General features: G+C 41.7%; 1 protein-coding gene and 1 long non-coding RNA gene across 8 annotated transcripts in view; one reads left to right on the top strand and one right to left on the bottom strand.

Annotated features, from left to right (window-relative positions):
* Window positions 1–19,419, top strand: part of CCDST (cervical cancer associated DHX9 suppressive transcript) — a 177,390-nt gene extending 157,971 nt beyond the window's left edge. For 5 of the 7 annotated variants that reach the window (NR_186761.1, NR_186764.1, NR_186763.1 and 2 more), the window contains one exon: window positions 16,714–18,395. This is a non-coding gene — a long non-coding RNA (cervical cancer associated DHX9 suppressive transcript). Of the gene's footprint in view, window positions 1–16,713 lie in introns of all 7 variants that reach the window. The other 2 variants (NR_103778.1, NR_103779.1) reach the window with 1 other exon arrangement.
* Window positions 1,462–12,733, bottom strand: FLG2 (filaggrin 2). Its single transcript, NM_001014342.3, has 3 exons — window positions 12,683–12,733; window positions 11,474–11,633; window positions 1,462–10,374 (listed from the first exon to the last, which is right to left on the bottom strand). The coding sequence occupies exons 2-3, from the start codon at window positions 11,609–11,611 to the stop codon at window positions 3,337–3,339; spliced, it is 7,176 nt and encodes a 2,391-aa protein (NP_001014364.1). The 5' UTR covers window positions 11,612–11,633; window positions 12,683–12,733; the 3' UTR covers window positions 1,462–3,336.
* Window positions 19,420–19,847: the final 428 nt, after the last annotated feature.

A 19,847-nucleotide genomic window follows, 5' to 3' on the forward strand; every position in this document is an offset into this window, starting at 1 on the left:
TTTACCTTCTTTGGACTCATCATTAGTATCTGAGTGTTTCACCGCCGTCTAGCGGTAGAATATGGAATTACAGATGTATGGAATGAGTGCAGACGCCCTGACACGAGAGAGAGCTTTGGCTTGAGAATCAGAAACCTATACCTTGGTCATAGCAGCACTTCCAATTAGCAAGTTAATCTCTTCTATTGTAAATAAAGTAAATCCATAGATTTACTTTACTGCCATCTAGCTGTGCAGAGGTAGGATAAAAATCTATGGATTTCTCTTTTTATTATAGGTATAGACTTACTTTATCTATAATAGAAAGAGATTAAATATCAAATTTAAATTTCTAATTGTTCTTTGATAATTAGTATTTATATTCAGTGAATAAATGGTGATAGATAGATTGGTATGAATTGGTTACTAGCGTTAACTCCTATATACACAGTAATTTTGCTGAGTATCATTAATAGTATAACAGTAGCTTTTTCACTAGCAAACTAACAGACTAGTGTTATGTTGATTACATAGTACGATTTAAAGTTCATAAAGTACAAGTCCTTCTTAATATTACAATTTAAAAACTAGATTAGATAGATATATTCTGAGTCTAATCAGAAGAATGAGCCTGTTTGTTGTTGTTGTTGTTTTCATGTAACTTCTGCTTCTAATAGGGACTTGTGATTTTGAACACTCACTGATGAATTTCAGTTTAGTTTGAATTCCAAAAGTGAAGGTGGAGGAAAAGTAGCTTGATTTTTGAGTGAAAAGAGGATAAATTTGGATAGCACCAAATTTAATGGTGAGAATTATCACTCTTTTAATTAAATGCGGTGTGCTTGGCTTTTTTATTTTAACTTCCAAATTAAGGAAGTAATCTTTAAAGTTCTTACTAGTTCTGACAGTCTGCACATTTTCTTTGGGTTTTATAGTAGTAAACTTTCTACTGAGGATAGTGCATTTTGTACATAATTCTTCTACTCATCATTACTTCTCTCACTATTCATAATAAATTCATGTATTTTCTCCTTATAGGCAGGAATAATATATTTTTAACTGTTTTTCTTCTACTGGAAACCTCTGGACCCAATTAGCTTCTATTGATAGTGATTCTTCCATTAATATCTTTGACAGAGAAAATCCATGGTGTATAATTCTTATTTCCAGAGCTTGGGTTGTCTTAGAAAGTAGCTTCTTGGGATTATGTTTGATAATAATTGCTGTGATGATCATGATTAACCAGAACATCTGAGGTCAACTCATCAGTATAAAGCCTTTCTGTAAATGCTTTACAGAAGCATTGGACAGCGATTAGATTGAGGAAAAGATCAGATATGGTTGAGTTTTGTCTTCTTTGGAGTCCTTATTATTAGTACCTGAGTGCTTCACTGCCATCTAGCTGTGTGGAGGTGGAAGAAAACTGCATCTGATCCCATGGCAGGAAACTATGTGTTTGTGGAGATGAAAGAGAAGAGAAACTATAACTTGATGAAATGTTTATTGCCAATTTTTATGAAGTACAATTTTCTGGATCCTATATCCAGAAGGCCATGACAATAAATTTAAATATAATTGTACAGAATTCCAGTAGTGACACAAAAAGATGCAAATATTCTGAATATTCATGTGGGAAACTATGACAACATTCTTTGTTCAGGATGGGATGTGTTATAATGTTTCTAGAGACGTTTTGGCTCCTAAACCACGTCATTTAGCTCCTTGGATAGGTTTGTCAATAATTAATTAAAACAAAATCTGGAAAATCCAAATTTTGAAATTCGGAAATTTTTTTAAAACCTAATTTTATTCCCAACCACACAAATCTCTCTTTATTATATAGTTCTGAATATAGCCCCAAATGGTGTTTATCTTTTTCTTCCATTCACTATTTTCTTTCTTTCTTTTTTTCAAGGTGGAGTCTTGCTCAGTCACCCAGGCTGGAGTGCAGTGGTGCGATCTCGGCTCACTGCAACCTCTGCCTCCCGGGTTCAACCAATTCTCCTGCCTCAGCCTCCTGAGTAGCTAGGATTACAGGTGCCCGCTACTGCACCCAGCTAATTTTTGTATTTTTAGTAGAGACGGGATTTCACTATGTTGGCCAGGCTGGTCTCGAACTCCTGACTTCGTGATCCACCCATCTTGGCCTCCCAAAGTGCTGGGATTACAGGCGTGAGCCACCGCGCCCGGCCTCATTCACTATTTTCTAACCAAGGAGTTCAATGAATGTGGAGCCTTACAAAAACACCTGGCACCAAACAAAAGTAATATAGTACAGAACTATAGTTAAAATGAAAGAACAGACATATACCCTTACTACCAAAAGAGGAGATCATGTTAAATACCTTAATTTCATGTATGTGTCTCATTTCTTCTCTGGGTTAGTTCTTATCTTGGGCTAGTTTATGTTGGCTTCTTATTCAAAGTAATAACTCCTTTGTTCTTGGACATATTCATAGAGTGGGGTGTTGCTATCTAAGCAGAAGGAACCAGAGCCTGTTCTTTCCTTTGTATGGTAACCGCTGGCCTCAGAGCCTCTTTGTTTTTTGCCCACATCCTCACCGTATATTCTGATACCTCCTGACAGACTTGACTCTGACTCTTGCCTTTGTCTCCCCCACTGCATATGGTTGCACTGCTTGATGAATATCTATACCTATACTCTTCAATTCCTGCAGGGTCTTGGCTGTCAAGAAAGTGACTGAAAATGTATCTTTGACTTTTGCTGTCATTTGACTACTCATAACTATCATTTGATTGGCCATGGCTGTATACTTGTCTTTCATTGGTACTGAATCCAGACTGACCCTAGGCATCTCTTGATGGCCCATGACTTAATACCTATCTGGCAAAACCTGTGCTGGATCTTACCTGCCCATGAAAAGTTGTATCTCCGAAATGTTGCTGGCTAGATCCATGTATACCTATTGTATTGAACTCTAACTTCCCATGCCTAGATCCTAATTGCTCATGAGTGTCTTTCTCCCAATCTTCTGAATGCTTTTTGTTATCAGTATGGGATTCCTGTTTTCTGATTGAACTAGATTTTGAATGGCCATGAACTGATATGGATTGTCCATGGCCAAATCCAAGGTGGTCATTTGACTGGCTATGTGTACATCCCTCCCTTCTGGCTGTGTTATATCCAGGTTGAACATAGGTGTTGTTTGACTGTTTATGAGTTACTATAGAATGTCCATGACTAGATTCCTGACTTCTTATAATAATAGGTCGAGACTGATACTGAGAATCAACTGAATGTTCATAACTTACCATTGACTGTTCATGATTTAAACTGTGTCTTCCTGTTCTTTTAGTTGCTTTGGATACTATAAGGTCAGAACTAGAAAATAACTGTCAATGTCTAGACAGTTGCTTGTTTGCAGTGCTGTCTGTTGACCATGAAAGGTGAGAATTACTGATGCTTTTTCTGCTGCCACCAGAAGGCCCATACCCAGTGTGCCCATAGTCATATTCTGCAGGTCCATAGCTGCCATGTTTCCAAACCTGACTTGATCCATGCCTTTGCCTTTCACTACTATGTGACTGAAAATGACTTGCTCTACTAGATCTGGAACCTGTCTGTGTGGATTGTCCATAACCAGAATGGCCATGTCTAGTGGTATCTCCTGTCTGTCCATGAGTAGTTTCCAGTCTCCCATGAACTGTGGATCCTGGCTGTCTTTGTTGAGATCCAGCTTGGCCCTGAATGTGTCCTGAATGTGTGTGTGAGCCCCATGAGTGCACTTCACTGTCACTGGACTCACTGTGGCCAGATCCCCTTCTTCCAGTTGTCCTGGACCCTCTCTGTGTGGATTGTCCATAACCATAGTGGGCATGTCTAGTGGTATCTCCTGTCTGTCCATGAGTAGTTCCCTGTCTCCCATGACCTGAGGATCCTGACTGTCCATGTCGAGATCCGGCTTGGCTGTGAGTGTGTCCTGAATGTGTGGGTGAGGCCTCTGAGTGCACTTCACTATCACTGGACTCACTGTGACTAGATCTTTGTCTTCCAGTTGTCCTGGAACCTGTCTGTGTGGACTGTCCATGACCAGACTGGCCATGTCTAGTGGTATCTCCTGTCTGTCCATGTATAGTTCCCTGTCTCCCGTGAATGGCAGATCCTGACTCTCCATGTTGAGATCTGGCTTGGCCATAAGTGTGTCCTGAATGTGTGTGTGAGACCCCTGAGTGCACTTCACTGTCACTGGACTCACTGTGGCCAGATCCCCTTCTTCCAGCTGTCCTTGACCCTCTCTGTGTGGACTGTCCATGACCAGAGTGAGCATGTCTAGTGGTATCTCCTGTCTGTCCATGAGTAGTTCCGTGTCTCTCATGAACTGAGGATCCTGACTCTCCATGTTGAGATCCGGCTTGGCCATGAGCGTGTCCTGAATGTGTGTGTGAGACCCCTGAGTGCCCTTCACTGTCACTGTACTCACTGTGGCCAGATGCCCTTCTTCCAGTTGTCCTGGACCCTCTCTGTGTGGACTGTCCATGACCAGAGTGGCCATGTCTAGTGGTATCTGCTGTTTGTCCATGAGTAGTTCCGTGTCTCTCATGAACTGAGGATCCTGACTCTGGATAGTGAGATCCAGCTTGACCGTGAGTGTGTCCTGAATGTGTGTGTGAGACCCCTGAGGGCCCTTCACTGTCACTGTACTCACTGTGGCCAGATCCCCTTCTTCCAGTTGTCCTGGACCCTGTCTGTATGGTTTGTCCATGACTAGGGTGGCCATGTTCAGTGGTATCTCCTGTCTGTCCATGAGTAGTTTGGTGTCTCTTGTGAACTGTGGATTCTGACTCTCCATGTTGAGACCTGGCTTGGCTGTGTGTGTGTCCTGAATGTGTATGTGAGCCCCCTGAGTGCACTTCACTGTCACTGGACTCACTGTGGCCAGATCTCCTTCTTCCAGTTGTACTGGATCCTGACTGTGTGGACTGTCCATGACCAGATTGAGAATGTCCACTGGTATCTCCTGTCTGTCCATGAGTAGTTCCATGTCTCTCGTCAACTATGGATTCTGACTCTCCATGTTGAGATCCAGCCTGGCCGTGAGTGTGTCCTCGTGAGTGTGGTCTTTGTGAGAACCCTGAGTGCCCTTCACTGTCACTGTACTCACTGTGGCCAGATGACCTTCTTCCAGTGGTCCTGGACCCTGTCTGTGTGGACTGTCCATGACCAGAGTGGGCATGTCTGGTGGTATCGCCTGTCTGTCCATGTATAGTTCCATGTCTCTCATGAACTATGGATTCTGACTCTCCATGTTGAGATCTGGCTTGGCCATGAGTGTGTCCTGAATGTGTATGTGAGACTCCTGAGTACCCTTCACTGTCACTGTACTCACTGTGGCCAGATCCCCTTCTTCCAGTAGTCCTGGACCCTGTCTGTGTGGTTAATCCATGATGATAGTGGGCATGTCTAGTGGTATCTCCTGTCTGTCCATGAGTAGTTCCATGTCTCTCAGGAACTATGGATTCTGACTGTCCATGTTGAGATCCAGCTTGACCATGAGTGTGTCCTGTATGTGTGTGTGAGACCCCTGAGTGCACTTCACTGTCACTGGACTCACTGTGGCTAGATCTCTGTCTTCCAGTTGTCCTGGACCCTCTCTGTGTGGACTGTCCATGACCAGAGTGGGAATGTCCAGTGGTATCTCCTATCTGTCCATGAGTAGTTCCGTGTCTCTCATGAACTGTGAATTCTGGCTCTTCATGTTGAGATCCGGCTTGGCCGTAAGTGTGTTCTCGTGAGTGTGGTCTGTGTGAGCCCCCTGAGTGCACTTCACTGTCAGTGGACTCACTGTGGCTAGTTCTCTGTCTTCCAGTTGTCCTGGACCCTGTCTGTGTGGTTTGTTCATGACCAGAGTAGGAATGTCTAGTGGTATCTCCTGTCTGTCCATGAGTAATTCTGTGTCTGTCATGAATTATGGATTCTGACTCTCCATGTTGAGATCCACTTTGGCCGTGAGTGTGTCCTGAATGTGTGTGCGAGCCCCCTGAGTGCACTTCACTGTCACTGGACTCACTGTGGCCAGATCCCCTTCTTCCAGTTGTACTGGACCCTCTCTGTGTGGATTTTCCATGATGATAGTGGGCATGTCTAGTGGTATCTCCTGTCTGTCCATGAGTAGTTCCGTGTCTCCCATGAACTGTGGATCCTGACTCTCCATGTTGAGATCCGGCTTGGCCATGAGTTTGTTCTTGTGATTGTGGTCTGTGTGAGCCCCCTGAGTGCACTTCACTGTCACTGGACTCACTATGGCCAGATCCCCTTCTTCCAGTTGTCCTGGACCCTCTCTGTGTGGACTGTCCATGACCAGAGTGGCCATGTCCAGTGGCCTCTCCTGTCTGTCCATAAGTAGTTTCATGTCTCTCATGAACTGTGGATTCTGACTCTCCATGTTGAGATCCAGCTTGGCTGTGAGTTTGTTCTTGTGAGTGTGGTCTATGTGAGACCCCTGAGTGCACTTCACTGTCAGTGGCATCACTGTGGCTAAATCTCTGTCTTCCAGATGTTCTGGAACCTGTCTGTGTAGACTGTCCATGACCAGAATGGCCATGTCTAGTGGTATCTCCTCTCTGTCCATGAGTAGTTCCTTGTCTTCTGCGAACTGTGGATCCTGACTTTGGGTAGTGAGATCCAGCTTGTGTGTGAATGTGTTCTGAATGTCTGTGTGAGACCTTTGAGTGCACTTCACTGTCACTGTTCTCACTTTGGCTAGATCTTCGTCTTCTAGTTACCCTGGACCCTGTCTGTGTGGATTGTCCTTGACCAGACTGGCTATGTCTAGTGGTATTTATTGTCTGACCATGAGTAGTTTCCTGTCTCCCATGAACTGTGGATCCTGACTCTACTTGTTGAGATTCACCCTGGCCCAAGCCAGTTGATTGACCTGAGCCTGAACCATATTGGCCAAATCCAGTGGACTGACCTGAGTCAGATATATGTTGTCCAGAACTAGAGAAATTGTCTGAGCCAGACACATGCTGTCCAAAACTTGTGGTTGGACCTGAGCCAGACTCATGTTGGCCACAGCCAGATGATTGACTGGAGCCAGTACCATGTTGGCCATAGCTAGACTGACCTGATCTGTACTCATGCTGTGCAAAGCCAGAGGATTTACCTGTGCCTGACCCATGTTGTCCAAAGCCAGAAGACTGACCTGAGCCCGATCCATATTGGCCAAAGCCAGAGGACTGACCTGAGCCTGGCCTGTGTTGTCCAAATCCAGATGTCTGTCCTGAATTTGACCCATGTTGACCATAGCCAGATGATTGACTTGAGCCAGAACCATGTTGGCCATAGCTAGACTGACGTGATCTAGACTCATATTGTCCAAAACCAGAGGATTGTCCTGAACCAGTCCCATGTTGTCCAAAGCCAGAGGACTGATCTGAGCCTGATCCATGTTGTCCAAAGCCTGAGTATTGGCCTGAGCTTGACCTGTGTTGTCCAAAGCCAGTTGTCTGTCCTGAACTAGACCCATGTTGACCATAGCCAGATGACTGACTTGAGCCAGAACCATGTTGGCCATAATTAGACTGACTTGATCTAGACTCATGCTGTCCAAAGCCAGAGGATTTTCCTGAGCCTGACTCATGTTGTCCAAAGCCAGAGGACTGACCTGAGCCTGATCCATGTTGGCCAAAGCCAGAGGATTGACCTGAGCCTGACCTGTGTTGTCCAAATCCAAAAGTCTGTCCTGAACTTGACCCATGTTGACCATAGCCAGATGACTGACTTGAGCCAGAACCATGTTGGCCATAGCTAGACTGATGTGATCTAGACTCATGTTGTCCAAAACCAGAGTATTGTCCTGAGCCAGTCCCATGTTGTCCAAAGCCACTGGACTGACCTGAGCCTGATCCATGTTGTCCAAAGCCAGAGTATTGACCTGAGCTTGACCTGTGTTGTCCAAAGCCAGATGTCTGTCCCGAACTTGACCCATGTTGACCATAGCCAGATGATTGACTTGAGCCAGAACCATGTTGGCCATAGCTGGACTGATGTGATCTAGACTCATGCTGTCCAAAGCCAGAGGATTGTCCTGAGCCAGACCCATGTTGTCCAAAGCCAGCGGACTGACCTGAGCCTGATCCATATTGGCCAAAGCCAGTGGATTGACTTGAGCCTGACCCATGTTGTCCAAAGCCAGATGTCTGTCTAGACCCATGTTGGCCATAGCCAGATGACTGACTTGAGCCAGAACTGTGTTGGCCATAGCTAGACTGACCTGATCTAGACTCATGTTGTCCAAAGCCAGAGGATTGTCCTGAGCCAGACCCATGTTGTCCAAAGCCAGAGGACTGACCTGAGCCTGATCCATGTTGGCCAAAGCTGGAAGACTGACCTGAGCTTAACTCGTGTTGTCCAAATCCAGATGTCTGTCCTGAACTTGACCCATGTTGACCATAGCCAGATGATTGACTTGAGCCAAAACCATGTTGGCCATAGCTAGAATGACCTGATCTAGACTCATGTTGTCCAAAACCAGAGGATTGTCCTGAGCCAGAAACATGTTGTCCAAAGCCAGAGGACTGACCTGAGCCTGATCCATATTGGCCAAAGCCAGTGGATTGACTTGAGCCTGACCCATGTTGTCCAAAGCCAGATGTCTGTCTAGACCCATGTTGGCCATAGCCAGATGACTGACTTGAGCCAGAACTGTGTTGGCCATAACTAGACTGACCTGATCTAGACTCATGTTGTCCAAAGCCAGAGGATTGTCCTGAGCCAGACCCATGTTGTCCAAAGCCAGAGGACTGACCTGAGCCCGATCCATATTGGCCAAAGCCAGTGGATTGACCTGAGCCCAACCCATGTTGTCCAAAGCCAGATGTCTCTCTAGACCCATATTGGCCATAGCCAGATGATTGACTTGAGCCAGAACCATGTTGGCCATAGCTAGACTGACGTGATCTAGACTCATGTTGTCCAAAACCAGAGGATTGTCCTGAGACAGACCCATGCTGTCCAAAACCAGAGGATTGTCCTGAGACAGACCCATGCTGTCCAAAGCCAGAGGACTGACCTGAGCCTGACCCACATTGTCCAAAGCCAGAGGACTGACCTGAGCCAGACCCATGTTGTCCAAAGCCAGATGTCTTACCTGAGCTAGACCCATGCTGGTCATAGCCCAAGGATTGACTTGATGTAGACTCATGCTGGCCACAAGTTTGACCTGAGCCACATACATGTTGTTCGAACCCAGAGGACTGACTCAAGCCTGTTCCATGTTGTTCAAAGCTAGTAGACTGACTTGAACCAGACCCATATTGATCACATTTGGAAAATTCATTTGAACTAGAAGAGTTTGAAAAGCGGCCACAGGAACCATATTCATGTTGACCATTACTACAAGACTGGCTACCTCCAGACCCATATTGTCCACAGCAAGAGGACTGACTTGAGCCTGTTCTCCATTGTCCTCCACAGTTCTGTGGTTGACCATTTTCTCTAGCTCCATATCCTCTCTGACTATAGGACTGACTACAGGGGTTAGACTCAGGTTGACCACATCCAGAGGGCTGACCTCCTGAGACACAGCCATGGCCTTGTCCTCCCTTAATTCCTGACTGACAGCCTGACTGAATATAGCTAAATTGATTTCCTTGCCCTCCAAATCTATGTGACTGACAAGAACTTGAAGCATTTTGTGGCCTTCCACACCCACTTGAATTGCTATAACCACATGCATGACTTCGCCTCCCACTGTCTCCTGAACCTGAACAGCTAGACCCAAGCTTTTGTTCTCTAATTCTTGACTGAGTAGAGTTTGATTCATGCCCACTAGTCTCCAATCCACATGACAGACCACCATGACCTTTCCTTTCCCAACTGTTTGATCCAGATCCAGATTCATACTCCTCCCCAGATTCCCTAGAAGGGCTAATGTGTGACTTGTTTATTCTTTCTCTCAGTTCTACAGAGCTGGAACCATGTCTGTCTTTGCCACCACTCCATGAATGACCACAGCTGGACCTGTGGTATCTTTTCTGAGATCCCTCTTGGTTCCCAGAGCTGGATAAATTACCTTGTCTTCCTAGCCTCCTGGAGTTGGACCCATGTCTACATTTCACAGTTCCCCTTGAGTGCCCAGAACTATATCCATGCTCCTCTCCCTCACTCCAACTTGAATGTCTGTAACCTGATTTATGTCCTGGTGTATCCTCTTCATCCTCTTCTGTTTCACTTTCTTCTTCTTGGTGTCGGTGACCACGCCTATGCTTCTTTGACCCTGAAGCTTTGCAGTATTCTTTGCTGAGGACCTTGTTGCAGGCCATAGTCAGCTTGAATATCATCAAAAGAAACTCAGTAAAGTCCAATCTTCTGTCATGATCTCGATCCAGCATATGCATGATGACATCCACTGTGTCTGGATCATCTGGGTTCTGTATATGAGTGACACACCAAGGGAGACCTGGTCAGCCTAACCTGCATACTCAACTAACACATTTAAATAGCGCTGTGAAATTATGGATGTTTGACATGATGTAGTTTTAGTCCAATAAAGGATTACTTTAGGTTAATAGAACCCAGTAAATGTTAAGGGTTAATAGAAAATAAAGACTACTGGGATCCTCAGAAGAAGACATTTCAAGGATTTAGGCTAAAGGATTAAGTGCTTAGGTAAGGCCTACAGGAAGGAGTGGAATAAACTAAGTTCAGTAACTGGTATTTCTAAGTTTTACATAAATTGTAACTATTACATGTTAATATCTTCCATGTTGGAATTTATCATCTATTATTTTGAAGTTAATAACTGAGTCTTTTTTTTTTTTTTGAGATGGAGTCTTGCTCTGTAGCCCAGGCTGGAGTGCAGTGGTGCGATCTCTGCTCACTGCAAGCTCTGCCTCCCAGGTTCACGCCATTCTCCTGCCTCAGCCTCCCGAGTAGCTGGGACTACAGGGGCATGCAACCACGCCCGGCTAATTTTTTGTATTTTTAGTAGAGATGGGGTTTCACCGTATTAGCCAGGATGGTCTTGATCTCCTTACCTTGTGATTCACCCACTTCGGCCTCCCAAAGTGCTGGGATTACAGGCATGAGCCACCGCGCCTAGCTGAGTCCTTTTTAAGTAGATGGAATAAAATGCTGGCATTTTATTTTTGATTCTTAATCATGGCTATTTTGTCAACTCCCTATGTAGATGATTTCCCTTTCTATACTTTTTTTTCCATTTGATAGGATAATTTATTAATTCGTGTCCTAGTATAATTTTATTTTCTGCTTTTTCTAAGGAAAAGCCTGGGTGTATGAGAAAGTCTGAGAGTCTATGAGGTAGGAGTGCATAGGTGGAAAAGTGAGGACGAAACATTCACTTTCTTTAAAATATCTGCTGCTTTAACAGACTTTCTGGCATCCCCAAAATACCACTCATAGAGTTTGCTTAGAGTTCACTGGGGCTGTGCACTTTTTAGCTGATCTGGGTCATACAACAGAGCTTGTACAGGACTCCAGCAGCCTTCAGTTCTGGCACATGGCTCTCACCTTCAGAACTGGATGAAGCTCTTTCTCCAGAAGTTCCTTTAGTTCACCCTTGCTCAGTGTGCCACACTCCCCATCTTGCTTGGTGTATTTGTAGAAAACATCAATTACGGTGACAACACTTCTCAAGAGGTCGGTCATCTTTTTGCAAGTTTAAGTGAACCTGGACACAGAAAAACAAAGAACCCTATTATTCATATTCTCTCCTTTTATCAGCAATTTTCATTTTAATAATAACCAGCATGATTTTTTTAACCTCTTGTTTTTTAAATCTCAAAACGTAAGAATGGGCCAGGGATGATACAACCCCGTTTAACACAATGAAAATTAACTTTGTTAACTTTGAGTTACTTTTCTGTGATCAAGTCTTGGCATGTTACTGGTTCAACTGAGAATAGACCTCAAGTCTCTATATTTCCTGTCATGGGTAAGTATAGTCTCTACATAGTATCTCTACACTTTGAGTGTGTTGGCATTCTGGGTGTTGTTCTAAGGCTTCCAAAATTTCCAGAACCAGCCAGACACCATTGCCTCAATCTCTCTTTCTAGTTTCACTGCTTTTCTTGAGTCAAAAGTGACAGACCTTCCACCATGCACATCTGTTTATCCTCTGGGCACCAGAAGCTAAACTGGACCCTTAAGGCCTTCAGCAAATTAAAAATGGGCAAAGGGGCTCAAAATAGCTTGGTGTTTCATAGGCATGAGACAGTAGAACTCAGTAGAGCTTAGGAACTCTCTTAATGTCAAGCACTTGACCAAACACTGTTTTCTTTAATTAATCAAGAAGAAGAGCTCAGCAATGCAGGCAGCAGTTTAACTAGTGGATAATTAGATCTTGGAGCTCTGGGAACCAACACTGAATAAGGAAGGGACTCTGCAACAGACCCAGCTGCCTCCCAGTTTGAGCTGGACAGCCCAGAAAAGAGGGCATGGAAAAAGACTCGGAACAGACTGTGGAATGGCCTAGAGGAAGGTGAACTTTTACTTGCATTATTCTTCTCCATAAAAATGAACTTAACTACAAAAAGGCCCCAGAATAAACTAAACTAACCAAACAAATAAGCAAACAAAAAGAAAAGAAAATGAAAGAAAGAAACAAAAAAGAAAAGAAAGGCAAAATATACATGAACTCTGCCTTAGCTTATATCCCTAGACTTCTACTATGGACAACACCAAATATTCATAAATGTAGCTGGATGAATTTTCTCTCACCTGGTTCACCAAAGGAACAAGTAGGATAAAGCCTGATGCAGCTTGCAGGGTGACGATGGATTGGGATAATGACCCTTATATAGCTTATAGTGATTATAGTGAATGAGGTGATTCATTTTCCATCAAACCTAACTCCACCTCTACATATTTACCTTCCTCCTTCACATTGTTATCTACAGATGATTGCAGAAAGGCTAGTACCAGCCCCACCTTCCAGTACGAGGACATGGTTGCAAGATACCTTTTTTTTCAGGGTCATATACATGTGAAAAGCACAGACTTTGTTTTAGAGGACTCATGTTATACATTTCTTTTAACTAGTACCCACAGAAAGTAGCAGAGTGTAAGATACTTGGAAGGTGCACAATAAATGCTTATTTAATTGAAAATGAACCTGAGCCACTAGGTTCATCTAATTCATGTCTTTTTTGTAATAATAAAAAGTGACATTTATTGAGAATTTACTATGTGCTAAATACTTTAAACAAACCATCTCAATCTTTAAAAAATCTGCACTTTTAGTTATGGGTACATAGTTGTATATAATTGTTGGGTACATGTGATGTTTTGATATGGGCATACCATGTGTAATGATCAAATTACAGTAATTGGGGTATCCAGCACCTCAAGCATTTCTTTGTAGTAGGAACATTCTAATTCTACTATTTTAGTTATTTAAAAATATACAATAAATAGTTAACTATAGTTACCATATTATGTTACCAAATACTAGATCTTATCACCTCATTTAATCTTCACAACCTTCATACGAGATATGTATTTATTATCCCATTTTATAGAGACAGGTTCTGGAAGCATAAGGATCTTCTCCAAGGTCATAGCTAGTAGGCAGAGAAACCAGAAGTTGAACCTGTATCTACCTTATTGCAATTGCTGTTTACCATTATACTAACTTACCTCTGTGTATTTATCATATATAACTATCATGCAAAAATTATGCACCATTTTAGGAGTGTAAGGCCCACTCAAACGCAAATAATATAAAAAAGTAACATACAGAGTGCTGTTAGGAAGAGAGGAAACATTCTCTGACCTTGTGAAGGCTCATTTCTAGGCTAGAAAAGTGTAATTGGCTATATATAAAAATAATGTTTTCAGATATGTTCAGGGTGAATTTAGAGTGAGCTTTCTTCCAGCACTCTGCGATCCACTGGTAGTCTGGCATGTTTAGGGCCTGGACCCTTGGGAAAATGTTCACTTATGTACAGAAAGTATATCAAATACACTTGAGGGTAACAAAAATAATCAGAGAGCTGTAAGTCTTAAGCATGGAGAGCCAATTCTGCTGTACTTTGCTACCAGGTGATAATGATGATGATGAGGAGGATAGCAGCTACCATTAAGTGCTAAGTGCTTACTATCTTCTATACATGGTAGGTTTACATGCTTATCTATTTATTCCTCAAAATAACCCCATTTTATAGATAAGGTAATAAAAGCATAGAGCAATGTAAACATTTGTTACAAATCGCAGCTAGTTAGTAGCAGCACTAGAACAGATACACATGCTAGCCGATGCTAAAGCCTAGCACTTAACCATATATATTCTACATATATGGAGTCAATAAACTCCTATCTGGGCATTGCTTTGGGCCAGTCATCATATCTTATTCATTCCACCATCTAGGCAGCACCTAGAGCTTGGTAAACACTAAGAATGAGTGTCTGTTCATAAAATGTTAATGAATAGGCCCTTGAAATATGTCAATTGCTCACATAGCCAAGGAATCCTAGACCAAAACAACCACACAGAAAGTTATGGTTGCTGTTGGATACTATGGTCATTTTCAATCATATGCATCTTTTGGAAGTGCATTTTTGTTAAGATGGCTGCTGTGTCAGAAAGACTTTCAGGCCCCAGACTCCACACTGAGACAGAATTTTAAAGCATTTTTGCACTGTCACTCCAGCATTATAGTTGAGAACTCTGAAACTCCTCCATAGTTCAGAACTCCATTATTCAGTCTTTTGTATTCTTTGCATTTAGGTCTCTCTTCCTCTTCTACTTGCTTAGCATAATGGATAAAATTATAGTCAGAAAGACCTAAGTTCTAATCTCAATTTTGCCTCTTACTGCATTTCTTGTACAATTATCTAATCTTCTCAGCCTCAGTCTCCCAAATTATAGAATGGGAACAATAACACTTACCTAACAGGTGGCAATTACTTAACATATGAAATTGCTTAGTACCTGCCTGGCATATAATACATTCTTAGTACACTATATAATTACTGCAAACTTATTTTGATAAATATTTCATACAATCTATCACAGCATTTTACACAAAGAAAGTACTTGATAATGTTTGATAAAAATGAGTTAGAAGCCACTTACTAGTGGCTTTTAAAGGTAGAAATACTACACCTCTGTCAAAAGCATTGCCTAGAAGGTAAGTCATGGTTCTGAAAATAAACCACCTTTTTTGGGATATAATTCACATATCATAAATTTCAACCTTTTAATCTGTTTTGTGTTTGCCCCCAGAATACTGTGCTGGCAGTGAGCTGCACTTTTTTTCCCTAATTGGGAAATGGGTTAAAGTATACAGTTCGTTGTGTGTGTGTGTGTGTGTACAGAGTATGTGCAATTGAGTTATTGTTCTTATGATGTCTATGTCCTTAAGTGAGTTTCCTCACTTCTTAATGCCTTAGTTTACCCTCTGTAATAATCATAGGTGTTATTAGTATCAGGGTCCAAGTGGACAGATAGCAGGTCGTTTCAGCTGCGATTTTGGAGAACAATTATTGTCCCCATTTCACAGACACCTATGCACACTTTGGAAAGAAATCCAAGTGCTGGTTTTAAGAATTGAGTTGATACCTGCAGAAACTTTTGCCCTCCTGGGTTCTGAAAGATTATTTAGCTCAACAAAGCAGAGGCCTGAAGTCCAGAGGTAGGGCACAGTCAGTTACACCATTTCTCTGTGTCTGGGCCTCCTTCCTGCCTTGTTCTACTCATCTCATCACCTTCTGCTCATTCCATGTCTACATTGCTCAGGCTCTAGGCACTACCAGACTCTTTGATTTTAGGCCCATTTGGTGAAGCTTATGCACCGTTGGCCACTGGATTCTTGAAGAGGAAGCTATACCTTAGAATGTTAAAAGTAACTTTAATTGGACCTGTGAAAGTTCCAGATTTTGGCTTTTCCACTGCATGCCAGATAAGTTTTGTTTCTACATCTCATCCTTTTTTTAATTTTAATTTTATTTTTTTAATTTTTTATTTATTTATTTATTTATTTTGAGGCAGCATATCACTTTGTCACCCAGGCTGGAGTGCAGTGGTATGATCATGACTCAACACAGCCTCGATTTCCCAGGCTCAAGTGATCCTTCTGCCTCAGCCTCCCAAGTAGGTAGGACTATAGATACGTGCCACCATGCGTGCTAATTTTTTTTCATCCTATTTAAGGTGGTGGAGGTTCTCCAAGTTAAAATAGTCTGTTTTACTTCTTGTCATGTTCAAATTAAGAACTTGCCTTAGGGCCCAAGTGGGTCTTTGTCTATCATAAGAACCAAACATTTTCTCTATGTTGTAACTATTTGGAACTCCTATTTGGGGGGTTTTCAATGAACTCAACTTACAGCTGATACCTGAGAACTGATTCAGGGACACTGATGTGTATTAAATGTCTGTTTTCTGTAAGAGCAGTTTAGGGAGATGTTCTTGGCTTGTAGTATGATGTGGTAGAAGAAACATTGACTTTGCAGTAAGACAGATAGATTAATTTGTATTATAGCTCCAACATACACTACCTGTAATATCTTGGGAACATTTCTAAGTCTGTCTCTGTTTTCACACCTGTGAAATAGGGACAATTACAGACATCTTAGAATTTGGTAACATTAGGATAATGCTTAGCACATAATAAGACTTCAATATATTTTCCTGTCTTTTCTTCATACTGTCAAGTTTAATCTGACTTAGAAAATTATCAATAAGTTTTGGGAATGATGGTTCATGGAGATGATTCTTAACTCCATTCCCTCCTTGTGGTCTCTCTTCTTAGGTGAAATTGAAGGCCAGCTTTTGGAACTCAACCTTCAAAGGAACTTAAAATTTCCATTATGTAGAGTCCCTGAGGAAACTGGATCCACTAGCTACACTGGCTGAGAATGCTCTCACCCCAGGATTTCATTTTTATTTTACCACATCATTGTTGGTATCTTAAGATCAATGTACTGGAGCAGCGGGGTCTCACAAAGAGGATACCTGGTGACACGCCCAGGCTTTCAGAATGCACTATAGGGCTTTAGTGACTTGTCCAGGTTCAGCTGAAATGTGCCATCTGGGACCTACTAATGCTTGTTGAACTTTACTGGATCTCAGAAGCTGGGTCTCAGAAGCTCAGATGTTCCTCAGAGCTACGATATCAACAACCTGTGATGACAGAGAGAAGGTTGCTCCATGATGGATTTGGAAACTTACTGGCTAGCTAAACCTGACTGAATGGGAAGGAATGTGGATAGCTTTGGAACTCTAGTTTCACTAGATGAGCTGGAATTTGTATTTTGACAAATTGCACGTTATGATTATTAAGTAATGCAACTGATTTTTTTTTCCCTTAAAACAAACAATCTAGAATCTGTGTAATCAAAATAATTTCTCTAAAAGGCTGCAAGTATATGCTTAAAGTGTTGGGGCATTCAGAGCATTTGGAACATTACATTCTTTTGAATGTCAATTGGTAGATGAAAATACCAGCTTTTAAGTCATACATTTGATTTTTTGAAACAATATGCATTTAGAGTTTGTAAGTCAAGTGAATAACTGATAAGGTAAAAAAAAGGGGGAGTTCATTGTTGAGTATGAATTTAAAGTAACCAGACTGCCTTTTGTCCAGTGGCTGTCAGTAATTTACTTCAGCAGGCATTTTTTTTTTTTTGAGGCTGTTCTATGATATCATGACCCTTCTTGTAGGAATGTGCTTCCAGTGGTGAGGCAGTCTGAGAATGTGTGAAGCAGTATAATGAAGCCAGACCAAGATGGAAGCTTGGCCTGGGATTTGAGCATCAGGAAAACTGTTGAAGGGTTATGTATACATCACACACACACACACACACACACACACACACACACACACACACACACTCTCTTCCATACTCCTATAACAACGTATAGTATTTACTATACCTGGTGACAGGTATTTACTATACATTGTTGAAGATCTATAACATGGAATGCCTAGTGCTAAGTGCAGTGTCCTTAGTGAAATTGTATTGGTTTGGAATTATTTATGAGTTTGGGATTATTTGTCACTACCCTTAAATGATCTTGACACTCACCTATTTGAAAAGATATTGAGGATTTGCCATTTGATATTGACCAGGGTGTATTGTGCACAAATATTGTGAATATACATCTGTCTGTCCTTAAATCACTGTAAGTTTTAACTGGAATAGATTTGCTCCACATTACTCGGTAGGGCTGATATTTCATGCCTCATGGATGAGAAAAGAATAGGCAAAAATTATATCTCGGGCTGCCTCACACATCTTTTAACAGGATAAGGGAAAAATAAATATAAGACCTATGAGTTATGGCATCAGGCTTGAACTTTAATTTATGAATTAAACCAACAATATTATTGATTATTGCAATTATCTATCTTAATTTCATTTGTTCTCCTTTTAAAAATTAATTATGTTTATTTTACCTATTGTGAATAAAGTCACTCCTCCCATGTGCTTATTTCTTGACTCTGGCACTAATTATTCTTCAGTGCCTAGATTTCCTGGGACTGCTCAGTTTAAGTAACTTCTGAACATTGGTCTCTGAGAGAAAAGACAGTGAAGTGGGATCTGTGGAAAAACACATCTGCAAATGTCTCATTTTTTTCTTCAGGGGTAAGTTTTCTTCCTTGGAGACTCTTGTCTTGAAAAAGTGATACTAGATCACCATTTGGCAAGATAATTACAAAAGGCAGATAGAGTAATTATTTTACATAGCTGTTATAGGGTGACTAAGATCTCAGGGAATGACTGTGTTCTGTAATCCACTTGCCCCACTCAATACCCCAAGTTTTATACAAGCCAAAGATGCTTGGAGCAGAATCTGCTACCTGAGGCTCCAGGGCCTTGGCCTAGGGAAACTAATACTTAACTTTTTAAGTGGTCATTGATGACATCCCACTCCTTTCTGAGATGGGTATGATTTGAAAGGCAGGTGTATTCATGGAGAGCAGGGCTTGGGACCTTTGCTGCAAGAGGAGGAACTATTAGCCTAGACTTTTCTAATAAGGACTTTCTCATACCTGTTTCCTAGATCTGGTCCACATAGAAGAAATCAGGGAACACACAGGGTAGGACTCTTAAAGGAGTATGTTTCTTGGCTTTTTCCTAAAAACTAAAACAAAAACATTCATAGCAAAGCAGTTTAGCCCAGTGACTAAGAGTATAGACATTGGAATCTGAAAGATCTGGGTTGGAATTCTGCTTCAGCCATTTACTAATTATGTAACTTCACATCTCTGAGAATGGGGGAAATTTTCTTTGCAGGGTTGTTACAAAGCTTAAAAGAGTTAAGTCAAGTGCCTGGAACAGAACAGCCATTCAATAAATCATAGAAATTTTTGTTTTTACACAAATTTTTAAAAAGTAATATTTTTTGCATTTGTTAGAAAGACTATATTTTCTGTTTAGTGGATGACATCATCATCATAAAAATCACTGTTACAAGTTTTGTTTTGAGAATTAAAATCATATATTAATCCCAATCACATTGTGTTGGGATTAATCAACATCTCTGGGCATCTAATACTGTAAAAACATGGCCTGTGATTGGTCTGCTTGGAAGTGCATCTTGGTTCTGGCTCAGTTGGCTAGTGGGCCACATTGATTAAAGATGAATACAATGCCAATAATCTTGATATTGTTTATGATGCTAATGATAATGATGCAAACTCTGCCTATGATGAAGATAGAATCCTCAGATCACACCCACTTACTTTTAGGGCAGCAGGTCAAAGCATAGTCCCTGAATTTGCCTGCGGGATACATAGATTCTCTCCTTCTTTCTAGTTCACTTAGTCTATGACTGATTCTCTGGGAGCAGGGGATTTATAGTATATTTATCCGGTTCTCCAATCCATAATCTTATTTGCTCTGGTTGCACTAGCCACTGTAAGCCTCTTCTTGGTTGTCT

Source organism: Homo sapiens, chromosome 1 (assembly GCF_000001405.40).
Source record: "Homo sapiens chromosome 1, GRCh38.p14 Primary Assembly".
Classification (NCBI taxonomy): domain Eukaryota; kingdom Metazoa; phylum Chordata; class Mammalia; order Primates; family Hominidae; genus Homo; species Homo sapiens.